Here is a 14,772-nt window from a genome sequence, read left to right as displayed (position 1 = left end):
AATGAGGGAATAGAATGGAGGAAACTGTTGAAAAAGGACGTAGATTTTGACTTTTCACTTTGCACTTTTTTGAACTGTCAGACCTTTTTATCATGAACATATACTTCTCTTAGCTTTCAAAACCTAATAAGAATAATGAAATAGAACTTTTAAATTTCCTCATGTGCATTTCCTTTGAAAGGCAGGGTATAGCAATAATGAACACTAAGAAGAAAAAGCATACATTTGCCATCAGAAAGATTTAGATTCAAATCCTATAGCACCCCAGGCATAGTTTTCATCAGAGCATAACAATTGGGTTTATCTGTCTGTTTCCTCCCTAAACAACTCTGTAGCTTGTTCTATGTTTCATTTATCATTTTCTCTTGTATATAGCATGTTGCCTAGTATATACTAGTTGTTCAGTAAATATTTGTTAAACTGAACTAAACCTCTGAAGCCCTGCCTCCTCTAGCTCCCATCTTTGTAATTTTTGGTGAGTCAACTTCCTCACATTCAGAGTAGGAGTGATAATTACTACCTCACAGAGTTGTTTAAATGACACATGCATATAAAGCACTTAGCACAGTGTCTGGTACATAGTAGTTGCCATTCACCCTCACCTCTAATTTTAAAATAAGTCTCTTTCCAATGGGAAATAATAATAATTTTCACAAGGAAAAATCTCAGTAGTCCTTTATCTGCCTTTTAAATACCACTTTGAAGCTAACAAAAATGGGCCAGGCAAAACATTAGCTTTGGTATGTGTTGCAGAGGTCCCAACACCACCCACACATTTAGCAATTTCTAGAAGGACTCACAGGCCCCGTAAGTAGTTGTATTCATGGTTATAGCTTATTACAGCAATCACCAAGAGGAAAAGATATGTCAGGACGAGTCTGAAGGAATCCATGCACAGGTTTCCTATGTTCCCTCCCTCACACCAGAAAGGACTGTGTTCCCTCCTCTCGCAATGATATCTAGTAATACATGTATACTGTTTCTTTCCACTGAGGCTTGCTTGAGACTCAGAGTCCAAAGTTTCTATCATAATGTAGGCACAACGACCTGCCACATCTACTATAATAGTAAATTCCCAGAAGGAAACAGGTGTTTAGTGCCCCACATGGGCAAAACAACCTATGATAGCTTAGAGAATATTTCAAATGCAAAGTTGAAAGGGGGCCTTTTAAAAATACCAGTGTCAGGCCCACTCTGTTAACGTTTTCCTGCACAGCATGTCAAGTGATAATACTGGGAAGAGGGCAGGAGTTACCAGAAAGAAGACTAATAAAAACTGGGGAAAACAGCCAAAGGACAAAATGGTTGAAAGGGAAGAGAGGAAATGAAGTAACTGGGCAGGAGGCAAGGAAAGAAATCAGGGAAAAAGAAGAGGGAAGGCAGGAAGGAGAGAAAGTAGTCACCTGGCTAAGCCAAACTGGCTTCTTACTCAGGCCACTTGACCCTATAGTACCCCTGCTCAATGTTGCTCATCCCAACGCCCTACCTCCCATTCCACTTCCTATGATGCCACGTTGTACGTGCTTATTTCTCATCCTCTCTATTTATGTACATACCTGTTCTCTTAGTCCTGCTGCCTTCGTGCTATCTGGATGCTTTGATAAGAAAGAAGGAGATGGAGGAGGGAGAGAAAGCCTGATAGTGATAAGATTAGGTAGAAAAATGCGTTTGAGCTAAATGGAACAATATGACAGTAACAGGCTCCCAGAGCTCCTCCAAACTTATAAAGAAATATGTAGTCTTTCTGGCTTTAGAAGACAAGAGACACTAGGAAAATATCATGGCAGAATGGGCTCTTCTGAGTGTACTTTTAAAATCACAGTGGCCTCTTTGACTTCTGTAATGAAGTCAGTGGTCAGTGGTTACTTCTCTCATTTTAACTCATAGAGCAAGTTTTTTAAAAAGCTGATAGGTGCTAAGGTTATATTCTCCCAACCCTTCCTTTTTTGTGACTTCCCAAATTCATAAAAGGGAAAAGAAGATAAAGGAGCTATTCCTTGCCTTGAGCTTTTATAATTAAAAAAATATGACAGATCCTTTTCTCCTTTTCTCACATTTTACATTTTATAAATTGCTGTCAGACTAAGGCTTTGCCAAGTTTCAACCCCAAGTGAAATCTTACCAAAAAAACTAAAAGTATAAAAAGCAGATGGATAATAGGTATAATCATTCAGCCTATGCATGTGTTATGGTTTTTTAAATAAGTTCATTCCTCTTGTGTTAAATGTGTAATATTAGTTATAACTATATTGATGTACTAAAATACCTATCCTTCCATCATTCTACTTTCTTATTATTAAGAAGGTTTCACTTTTGTTTTATATACATATATATTCATCTGGATAAAAACAGACACCCTAGATAATAAATTTGAAGGAATATGACAGCTTTCCATCTTCAGCTACCTGCAAGTCTATCACATGGAAGAAGATATTTTCACAACTCCAGAGAATGGAGGTTGACCAAATAAATACAAGATAATTTTCATGGGGCACATTAAGCTCACCTAAAGAAAAAACCAAGACATCATTTAGACTCTTCTAAAAACAGACGGTGTGGTATTATGTGGTAATTGTCACGTGAGGGGTACTGTCATCAAGGGAGATCAAGACTGGAACCAGCTGGTATCAGTGAGACTCTGAGAAATAATTGGAGAACCAACGGAAGGACTGGACAGACAAATAAACATATAGATTCCCACAGAGTCCAAAGACAAAGATCAGCCCCCCGAAATGAACTGGGTCCTTGGAAAACCTTATTGACATGGATAGATTGCTTGTTGAGATGGGTCAGGTTGCCAAATATAACTTAAGTGGTCTGAAGTTAAAGTGTAGCACAGACACACAAGGGAGTTATAACTGGATGGAGAGAAAAGGACTAAGAGCCAAGAGAGAACTTAAGGGTCAGGAAAGAGAGGCGTACTAGTCAGATAAGGCTAGGCTATGTGGAGGTAACAACCCTAGAATCTCAGTGGCTTAACATAACAAAGATTATTTCTTACTCAAGATGCATGTCCCAGTTCAGAGGGATCTTTGTTCCACACAGTCTTTCTGGGGCTCAAGCTCATATATCTGTCACAGCTGTTTCATCTGGATCACAGAGTACTCCAAGGTCTCTGAACATAAGAAATAGAAAAAAGAAGAAGCTCATAGGCTCTTAAGTGAGCCCGATCTGCAGTGAGGCTTCACTTCTGCTCATATTCCCATTGGCCAGAGCTCAATCACATGCTCCAACCCAACTATAAGAGAGGCTGCAAAATGCAGGGAAGGAAATAGATATTCGGTGAGCTCTCTGCTGCAGGAGGGTGCACTGCCCAAAACCCACACCGAACCTTGTCTGTGTCCAGGTGGAGAGGCTGCAAACATTCTTTATTTCAGCTTACTCTCCTGTAAAGCTCTACTTTTCCCAGCCACTAAAAGTATCCTGAATTTCTGACATGGTGAATTATCATTTTGGGGGGCATTCAAAAAGAAGCCAAGAGTGGCCAATATCCAAAATCAAATACTGGTGACGATGGGGGAGCAACAGGAACTCTCATTCCTTACTGGTCGGAATGAAAAATGGTTCAGCCACTGTGGCAGACAGTTTGGCAATTTCTTACAAAAGTAAACATACTCTTATCATATGATCCAGAAATCATACTCTTTGGTATTTATCTAGATGAATTGAAAACTTATGTCCACACAAAACCTGCACACAGATGTTTATAGTTTATAGCAGCTTTATTCATAATTGTCAAAACCTGGAAGCAACCAAGGTGTCCTTCAGTAGATGAATGGATAAAGAAACTGTGGTACATCCAGTGAAATATTATTCAGCACTAAAAAGTAATGAGCTATCAAGCCATGAAAAGACAAGGAGGAAATTTAAATGCATGTTACTCAGTGAAAGAAGCCAATCTGAAAAGTCTACATACTGTATTATTCTAACTATATGACATTCTGTTAAAGGCAAAGCTATGGACACAGTAAAAGTATTAGGGGTTATCATGGGTTAGTAGGGAGAAAAGGATGAATAGGCAGAACACAGAAGATTTTTAGGGCTGTGAACCTATTCTGTGTGATACTACAATAGTGGATATATGTCATTATATATTTATCAAAACCCATGGAGTGTACAACACCAAGAGTGAACTCTAAAGCAAGCTATGGATTCTGGGTGATGATGTGTCCATGTAGGTTGATTGTAACGAATGTACCACTCTGGTGATGGATGCTAATAATGAAGGAGTCTGTGCCTGTGTGCAGTGGGACAGGGGATATTTGAGAACTCTGTACTTTCCACCCAACTTTGCTGTGAACCTAAAATGGTTCTAAAAACTAAAGTTTATTAGTTTAAAAAAGGAGTTGGGGATGCTCCTCTTTAATAAGGTAGTAGAAGGGACATATTTATTTGGTAGAAAGTGAATCAAATGACCTCTTCAAGCCCCTTCCAACCCCGAGGTTCCCTGATTTCTATGCTCTGTTTGATATCAAGAGACCATTGACTCTTAGGACAGAAAGGTATTTTAAAGGTCATCCAATGGATGAATTCTGATAGATGAATTATTTCCTCTGCAGCACAACTGCTGAAAGGTCATCTCGTCTGTGCTGGATGATGCTCAGAGAATGGAAATTTGGTGCCTCTTTGATTAACTCTTTCAATACCTCCTTGAATCACTTTGTCTGAGAGTCTTCCTTGCATTGAGATGTCTGTCTCCCCATAGTTATTGCCCATTAGATATATCCATGGGAATCAGAAAGAGTAGTGTCTGGAGGCAAATCCGGTATCTGTTAAACAGAGTATACCACCAGTAAATGTGAAGCTCCTGCAAGACAGATGGGCATTGGAAGAAAATGAGGTAGGGATCAGCAATAACGTAACAGAACCAGGGAGGAAAGCAAGCAGGGCTCAGAGTGACCTTGAGTTCCTGGAGGACAAAAACAGGGGCTCAGTTTAGGTGCTGGTGAGGCTACCACTGTGCAGGGCTATGGGCAAGCTGAGCCAAAAAGCACATTCATTAGTTTGTGCCCAGGTCATTTTCCTCTTGAAGGATATTCAGTTTATTTCAACTAAACACTCATAAGTCATAATTTTCCCAAGAGGTTCTTTTAAACTGTTTGCAGACAGAAAGATCTATCTTTTAAGGAGTTCATGGCCTTGTTTAGAAAATAAAAAATACTTTGCCAAATCAACTGGATACTTCCCCATCCTTATTTCTCTTGGTATTCCTTCAATATCTAAAACAGCTACTACTCTTTTCCTTGATACTTTCCCCTTCTTGGTATTGACCTCATTTATCTCCGGCCCATTTTCTCTCAATGGATTCTCTTCTCTCCCTTCTAATAATGATGGTTTTCCCAAAGCCCGATCCCTACCCTTGTTATCTTACATGAAACATCTTTGCTGGGTAATCTATCCAGTCCCATGGCTATATCTATACTCATATGCTGATGAACTCTAAATGTGTGTCTCTCCTAAGAGCCCCAGACTCATCTTTGCTTAACTAGGTCACAGATACTAAGAGTTTATGTGCTCACAATGGATTTAATTGTTGTTCACTCCCCTGTTCATGCATTTCCAACTCAGCATCATATTTACCCAGTCACCAAAGCTGGGAGACTAGACAGAAGTAATCTTGCATTCTTACCTTTCCACGAACCGCCATAATCCAGGCATGAAATCCCATCAACTCTACCCTCAGGCAGCTCTAAAACCAACCTCTGCCTTCCATCCTCATTACCAATGACACAGTCCTTCATTTCTCATTTGGACTGTAATATTCCGCTTTAAGTTTTAATTTTTTTTCATTATAAGATATCATAGTTCAGGTGCTTTTATAATGAAGAACAATTTATTGACTCAGTCTTACCCTGTCCCAATCTGGCTCCCCACAAGCCACTAACTGAAACTACCACCGGTTTTTGATCATCTAGTAGTTGTCTCAGTATCACTAGATAGTATGTGCTTTATGTGACAATTTCTTGGTTTATCAAAATAAGATATTTCTTTTACTTTTCTGGTACTAGAGATGAAGAATTAACCTACTTCCTTTACCCTCAAGTTTCCAGTAGCCCTTCCCAAAAGTCCGTATGTAGCCAAATATAAGGCAAGACTTTTGCTCAAAATTATCCCATAAAAAATAAAGTCCTTATTAAGACCTTCATATTATAAGCAGTCTCTCAATTACTTAATTTCAAACGACAAATTACTATTTGGGGAAGACACAGTAACCTGAAATGACCTCAATCAAAGCTAGATTTGGATGTTTATAAAGGGTATCTGACATGACGGGGGAGGGTAAATAAATTTAACACAGATTGAGTCAATATTTCTGGAGAAATGGCTTCAAACAGCAGTTCTGGATGCCACTGCATACAAGCTTTTTTAAAAAATTACTTTATTAAAATACATTAAATACTTATGTTGTGGAGCTTACTACGAATTAATGAGTAGATGTAAATTAGGATAAAATTTCTAATGGCAACATCAAACTCAGATTCAAAAAGTGCTGTAGTCAAACAACTTAGTGGAAGCAAATATGGCACTATGTTTTCAAGTGGCTCCAGATGAAGGAGAAATGAATGCCAATGTGCATGTGTCGCCATTTGAAAAAAAATCATGAAATATGAGAGTGAAAAAGAGCAATTTTGTATAACAGTGTAGTTTACATAACATGTGGTTTAAAACATACATATATAACTAAAAGTTAAAATATCATAGGTAGACATTGGCTATTTCAACTCTTTCTTTAAATGTTGTATATTCAAGTTGAAAAAAGAAAAGTTGTTTCCAACTTTCTCATTTAGGAAAATGATGGTTTGACTCATATTCAGGGTCCACTTATATTTAGACATATATTATAGTTATATCTCCAGATCAAGACCTCCATTAGTCAATGCTGTCACTGACAGCATTCTTAAGCGTTCTAAAACATGCTTCTATTTTTCTATTTTATGTTCTGTGCACCATAGGCAATGTCTCTTGGTTCTCCACTTTATAAGGGAAAGCAGTAATGTTCTCCCCTTCTCCTCCAACTCTTTTTCCCAGTCCTCACCAACCTGATTCTGTAACAAAACTTGTCTGCAATTTGTCCAGCAAGGGTCACAAACTGTTGGTCCCTAAGTGAAAGACGATATAGTTTTGTTTGATTTAAACAGAAATTTATAAATTGAACGAGTTTCCCTGTATTTTAAACTGAGATTTCATGTGTAACAAAGGTCCTATTTTCTTAATATTTCTATTGTGCTTTATTCTTTTGCTTTCTCAGTGACATGACCTTCACCCTAGAATGCTCAGTTATCCACCTGTCTGGAGAGAGACCAGAATTTATTACAGAGGAAATTCAGAGACAGAATCTAAGGAAATATTCATCTTCTGATCTTCAAAAATAGACTTATGAAGCAGGACACTAATCCTTCCAAACTAGTGGTTATTCTTTTTTAAAAATAACTTCAACTTTCATTTTAGATTCAGGGGGTACATGTGCAGGTTTGTTACATGGGTGTATATCATGATGGTGAGGTTTGGGATACAAATGATCCCGTCACCCAGATAGTGAGCATAGTATCCAACAGTTAGTTAAACTATTTATTTTCTTGAGAAAAGATTTTCCTAGTTTACTTTATATTTCTCTTAAGCTTTCCAAAGGCCACACTTCAAGGATCCAGCCTCATAGATTTCTATAATAGCCTGACAATAGGTAATCAATCAGTTTATCTCTGCCAGTATATTATATATACTATGATAGTTGAAAGCCCACTGTGATGGTTAATTTTATGTGTCAACTTGACTGGGCCATGGGGTACCCAAATGTTTGGTCAAACATTATTTTGGGTATTTGTAGGAGGGTATTTCTGGATGAGATTAACATTTAAATTGGTAGACTGAATAAAGCAGATTGTCCTGCATAATGTGGGTGAGCCTCAGCCTATCAGTTGAGGATCTGAGTAGAACAAAAAGGCTGACCCTCCTCCCAGTAAGACAGAACTCCTGCCTGGCTGCCTTCAAGTTGGGACGTTGGCTCTTTCCTGCCTTCAGATTCCAACTGAGACATCAGCTCTTCATGGAGCTTGAGCCTGCTCGCTCTCAGATTAGATCTGCACCATCGACATTTCCAAAATTGTCAGTGGACTAACAGTTAAACAAGATTGACTTTTAGGTGTTGCTGGTGTTTTGTTGTGTTTTTCCTTGAACCAGCAGCAGAAGAGATTGGGAGCAGGCCATAATTGCAGACTAAATAATGAGATTCTTTTCTTCATATCCATTCTGTGGTGTGAAAAAAAACTGCGACCTTGCAACATGCATAAAGATCCAGCTTTCTGGTTCTCTTGAAATTTGCTGTCTCGGAACAGTGGGCTAGCAATCCTGTAGGAAGGCACCTCTCTCAGTTCAGCAGCAGCAGCATTTGCCCACTTTCGATGGGGCACACACTTGCCAGTTTGACAGGCCCACCCCCTTCCAAACCACTCTCTCACTCACTCACAGTGCCTGTATAGTTCTGAATATATTTGAATTTGTGATGCCTGGTCAATAAGCCCATTCTAAAAGTTCTAAAAGTTAAACACCAATTAAGTGTTTACATATTGTTTCAATTAGGAATATGGTTAGCTGCAAATAGCAGATACCTAAATAGCAGGACCTTCAACAAATAAAGGTTTCCTTTTCTCATATATCAAAAAGTCTGGTGCGGGCAGTTGCTGAAGTTGGATCAGTGATATATGATACAATGTTGCAGAGGCTACTAGCTGTCTACTAAATGTTAATTTTCTCTTTTTTGTACTAGTTGAAACCTGAGATTATTTGAAGGGACAATGTAACAAGCTACAAGCAAGATTTCTAGCCTTCCTTACAACTAGGAACATTTTAGATACTCCTGGACAATTTTAGGTTATAATAATCACAAATGGTGACTTCCAGGAAGGCAATTTTAATGGGGATAACACAGTTGGCATATGTCTTCTTTACTGTGCTCTATCCCTTCTTCATGTTTGAGAATAAAAATATGATGGCTTGAGTGCAGACAGCCATATTGAGAACAGGAAGATTAGGGTCATACCCAAAAGATGACAAAGCAGAAAGCCAAAGGAGCATTGGTCCCTGTTTATATCATGTTGCCATCAGAACAACCCTGGACTACCCACTCTGGACTTAATAAAGCTATAAATTAAGCCACTCTCTTATAATTTTTTTACTAGCAACTAAGTATAAATTTGATTGATACATTGTTGATACGCTGTCCATGCATCTGTAGCTCTTTTGGCATTTTCATTAAAGTTTTAAAATTTCTACTACCTTGCTCATGGCAAGAATATGGAGAAATGGGAATGAATCCGTCACAGGCACAGCTTTTTGATTCCCTTAAACGCAGGGTAAGCACCAGGGCATTATTCAGGCGCTAAATGGCTATCTTATCCAGTTGTGATTGGAAGTACGAACAGACAAATTCTTCATTAAATATGGACTACTACATATCTTCTTAGAAGTCTTGCTACTTGGTACAAATAAAGATGACATCTATGCAAAACAACCACTGGAACTCCGAATATGCCAGTGATGCTCAAGTCCAGATTCTTTCAGTCCCATGTCCCCAACTACCCTTTGCTATGAAATGACTCGGTTTTCTTATCTACTTCCACCCATTCAAACTAAAGCAAATTACTCATTTGAACTAAACTAAACTAAGTCACCCATTTGAACAGTGCACAGATGCATGAAGATCACATGGCCGTGAGTATTCAATAAGATACACACCCACACTCATCCAGATGACTGGGGAAAAAAGAATTATACCATATATATGATATAATATATGTAATTTATATATGGTATCATTTAGGTATAAAAGGTATAATTTATAAAATGTATATTATATATAATTTACATATATTATATATAAAATACACCTTTTATATATGTTATATACAGAACATATATATTTTATATATATATATATATATATATAATTTCCATCTAAATAAAACACAAAAATTTTAAATTCTTGTGGCAAACTCAGCATGCCCCAGAAATTCACCCTTCTTGCAGGCCCAGTTTGCCACACACTGTCCAAAACAGTTCATGACACCTCCTCCTCATACCTTTCTCTGAGCCTTGTATGTACCTCTCTCACGGTGCTTGCATTTTGTAATACACTTTGTTTTCTAGTCTCATTCCTCTTTGTCTGGGAACCTTTTGAGGTCAGCAACTGCTCTTCTTTATTTCCTTACAGACAGATCTAATTATTTAACACTGGATAAATGTTCTATTAATACTAGTTGATTTGAGTGAAGCTCTAGATAGAATTTATCACACTTCGAAGGAGGCCCATTGGCAAGATAAATCTGAAATTATCTGTACTTGTAATTTGTACAACATGCCAAAAAGAGAAACCTATTAAAAAGTACTCAAGTCTTTAGGAACTTGACTTTGATGACCTATAAAAATGACTAAAGAGAATATGTAGTTCCCCTTGACAGGTATTTATTATTTATGCTTCCTGTCAGAAATCATAGATTTTGTTTATCCTTCCTGTTCAATCAGCATCAAGAGGTGTAATGATTGTTAAAGGTCCCTAATGTCTTTTCGCCCCCTCCTATCCTCCTCCTTTAGGGCAGAGCGAATGAGCTCATTTGCAGAGAGGCTTGCCAGGCTCTGCATATGGTTTGTAATATAAATAGATCACATCTTAGGCATATCAGCAAGACAGAAGATGCTTGCCCTCCCCAAAGTCTGCTGAAATAGAAATTCTCACCTTAAAAAGTAGGCAAGCCACCTCTACTTTCTACTTCTCAGGGACTTTAAGAATGTGTTGTGTGACTATTTCAATCTTTGGCAAACTTAGATGAGTCCTGGACTATCCAAAAATAAAATATGCTAAAACTAAAAACTAAATGGCAGTCCTGTTTAATTTCAGATTTTCACCTATAATTGAACTTTGTGACTACATGCTTATTAAGAGCAATTTAGGTTCATGATCTGGATTATAATCTACTGCATTAGCTTAAACATATATTGATCAGATATTATTTTGTCTTTTATAAATAAAAGCTAATAATCTGGCTTACTTATGGTACACGTCTCTATTAAAAACCAAAAATGAATCCATGAGGTAAAGGTGACAATAAAACAAAATGATCCTGAGCTACACAATAGTCTTAGCTTTTATTTGAAATAGTTTAAGACTCACAAGAACTTGCAAAAATAATACAGAGCTCTGTGTACCCTTCACCCAGCTTTCCTAAATGAGAACATCTTACATAACTGTAGCACATTGTCAAAATGAGGAAATTGACGTTGGTACAATAGTATTAACTCAACTAATAATCTTGTTTGGATTTCACTCCTTTTCTGTGTTCTTTTGGTGGGGGGGTGCGGTATATATAGTTCTATGAAATTTTATTACCTGTTTAAATTTGTGTAACCACCACTATCAGGATACATATTGTTATTATTTTTAAACATTTACAGAAGTCCAACTAAGTATTAAACACTGATAATCACTCCTACATAACCTCATAAGGTAAGTTTATTATCCTCATTTTGAAGTGAGAAGACTTAAAAGGAAAAAAAGCAGACATTTCCCTTTCTTTTGGTATTTTATTATCATGTGACTAAGAGGCATACTTGTTTAATGACATTAATTTCAATATGAGGGATTCAATTTTTTAACCTTTGTGTTGAGCCTTTATCAAGCCATAGCTCTTCAATTTTTAAATGTATAGAGAGAGTTCACACAAGCCGTTCACTATTTTTTTTTTACTACAATTAGGCACGAGATGAGTGAAGAGACCACACACACACACACACACACACACACACACACACACACACACACACAAAGAAGACACATCCTGCAGCTCAGGATGCCAAAAACCACATCTCTCAAGTACTTTTGCTTTTCCTCAAAACCACAGAAACTCTATTTCTGTTCTTGTTTTTCTCCTGCACCCAGACCATAACAGTTTTATCCTTTGAGAGTTATTTCTAAAAATAAAATGAGAAAGAAGAAGAAACATGTAAAGGTATCTATCTTTGGTTTCCCAGTGCTATTTTTAACCACTTTTTTTTTTTTTTAACCATTCTCTACTAGAAAACACCACTCTGTCCATTGCATCACCCTCAGGCTCCATGCATTTAGAGCCTGGTTTACCCCATCCCTTTAACCACCACTGGAAATCCCATCAACAAAATATTGTGGAGCTCACTGTGGCTCAGCCCTGATCTCTGGAGCATTACCTCTTGTCCACACTCCACCTCTGGCTTTCAACAAATGTTAAACCAAGTCTAGTCTAGACATTTGGGACCCAGCATATGAATTTTTCTACTTACTGACTACTCCTTCTTTGTCTCTTTTCCCATTTTCTCCTCCTCTTTCTGATTTCCAAAGTTGGAGTCATGAAGGACCATTCTCAGCCTAAAATAGTGATTGTCAACCAAGGATGACTTTCACCCCAGGGGATGTCTGGCAATGTCTGGAGATATTTTGGGTTGTCACAACTGAGGGGAGTATGCTATTAACATTTAGTGGGTAGAGACTAGGGATGCTTCTCAACATCCCACAATGTACAGGACAATCCCTACAATGAAGAATTACTCCACCCCAAAGGTCAATGGCCAAGGTTATGAAATCCTGCCCTAAAAGATGCCATGATGTACTCAGATTCAGTCTACATGCTAATGGCTCCGATATTTCAATATCTAGTCCTGCTATCTCTCCGAATTCCAGATTTCTATATCCAACTGTCCCCACTTACGTCTATTATGTGCCCCAAACTTAACTTGTTCAAGGCTAAACTCTTGATGTTACCCACACACCTACTCTTTCCCAAGTCTTCCCCATATTGCTGATGGCGCCACCAAATTTGTCACCTTATATTCAGATTGTGATTTTATGGAAATCATTTGGTACAGGCATACTATGATTAAGACGAAAGAATAGTGGAGCTGTTAGGAATCTCATCTGGGAAAGTTTTTAAGACATACCTAAACCTATAAATTTAATTTGATGGTAGAGCCAGAATAAGAACTATGGTCCCATCAGCTTCCCCATATTTGGCTTGGCTCCCTTAGGTAAAATATGTAGCTCAGCTGCTTTCACTTCATTATTTTCATAAGTTGTTAGAAAGGCAGTTTTGTACAGTGCAAGGATGAGCAAACTATTACCTGTGGGTCAAACCTGGGTTGCCGCCCGTTTTTATATGGCTTGTGAACAGAACAATGTTACCATTTTTATGTGATTGAAAAGAAACCCAAGGAACAATAATAATTCATGACATGTGCAAATTATATTCAATTCTGATTTTAGTGTCTGCAAATAAAGCTTTATTGGAATATAGCCACATTCATTTATTTACGAATTGTCTATGGCTGCCTCCGTGCTACAACAGCAGAGTGGAGTAGCTGCAACACACACCGTATGGCTGGCAAAGCTGAAAATATCTACTATCTGGTCTTTTACAGAAAAAGTTTGCTGACCCCAGTAAAGTCACATGAGCTCCAATTTTAGAATTTAAATAGGAAAAGAAAAGAAATATAGATTTCAGTTTTGTCTCAGCTGGCAGTGTGATCTTTGAATATGATCCAATGTCTGTGAGCCTCAGGTTAAATGGGATAATGATACTTTCCTTGAATTGTAAGGAGTGTTAGAAGTAATGCCTGTAAAGTTTTCGAATATAGTAGGAACTCAACAAATATTAGCAATAAATGGTAATAATAATAATAATTATTATTATTATATTATCATAAACTTAGCCCTCAAATGTCCCCTTTGGCATGCTTTGAGAGTTCCTGTGACAAACGCCTTTTTCTAAAATCCAAGCAAATATGTAACTTAAATTGAATGCCTTTAGTCTCTTGCATCCGTTAGTTAGGTGATGACAGAACAGGTTTCTATCACATCATGGGTTGACAGCAAACTGAAGTTAATATCTTTATAATTCACATGTCATCCCACCCAATCATGAATTCCCTCAGTAATTAGTTTCCTGGAAATTGTCTCCTGAGTGATGAAGGTGACAATATCTGAAACTGGAAATAGTCGGGACGTAGCCAGTCTCCTTTTCAACTTTCCTATGCCAAGAACATCAGAAAACAAGTTTAGTTAATAGAAAACTATTAACTAAAGGAAGAACCAGAAATAAATTAGTAAATGGCACATAGAAACAGTCCCAACCAATCAGACCCAACTCTTTTAGATTTTAGATTTCCTAAAGGGCACTGACAGTATCCATAGAAGTAGAGAGTAGCCTTGATTTTTGATTGGCCTCCCCACAAATTTCCAGGCAATAGAGATGGGGGCATGCCTGACACTCACCTCGTCAGTGGCCTCTGTCAAGACCTTGGCCTCTGCCCTGGCCACCACCTCCAATCCTTCAGGAGATTCTGCCATCCCTGGTGGAGTCTCAGCCTCAGGCTTGCCTCCTGGCTTACATCTCATTCCCAGAGTGGAAAAGAGGTCAACTCTAGCTCTTTTTCTTTGTGTGACCCCATCCTTTCCCCATCTTGCACACTGCCATTTTCTCCTGCTCTCTAAGGCAGTTTTTGCTGAGCAAAGAGTCACTTCCAGCCTCCTTAGACTTCCTCTTCTCACTGAACTCCCCTTTCTATGGCACTTTCTGGGATGATCCACATCCCGCACGAGTGACAAGGCACAGGGTGTCATCCTGCTAATTAACATATGGCCTAATTATGGCTGTGTTACACTTTAGAAGACAGATTTAAAGCCTGAAGTGACCTAAGTAATTAGAAGTAGTAGACAGAAACATATGAAAGCAGCAGCAATAAGGTTGGGGTGGG

At 38.0% G+C, this 14,772-nt stretch overlaps 1 protein-coding gene across 2 annotated transcripts in view; it reads right to left on the bottom strand.

The window, feature by feature from the left end:
• FRMPD4 (FERM and PDZ domain containing 4) overlaps positions 1 to 14,567 on the bottom strand; it is a 902,085-nt gene extending 887,518 nt beyond the window's left edge. For both annotated transcript variants that reach the window (NM_001368398.3, NM_001368395.3), the window contains exon 1: positions 14,291 to 14,567. The gene's annotated coding sequence lies outside the window, so the exon portion shown is untranslated. The remainder of the gene's footprint in view (positions 1 to 14,290) is intronic.

The sequence above is a fragment of the Homo sapiens genome, chromosome X (assembly GCF_000001405.40).
Source record: "Homo sapiens chromosome X, GRCh38.p14 Primary Assembly".
NCBI lineage: Eukaryota > Metazoa > Chordata > Mammalia > Primates > Hominidae > Homo > Homo sapiens.
Note: the sequence above shows the minus strand (reverse complement) of the source record. Positions and strands in the feature narration are given on the sequence as shown.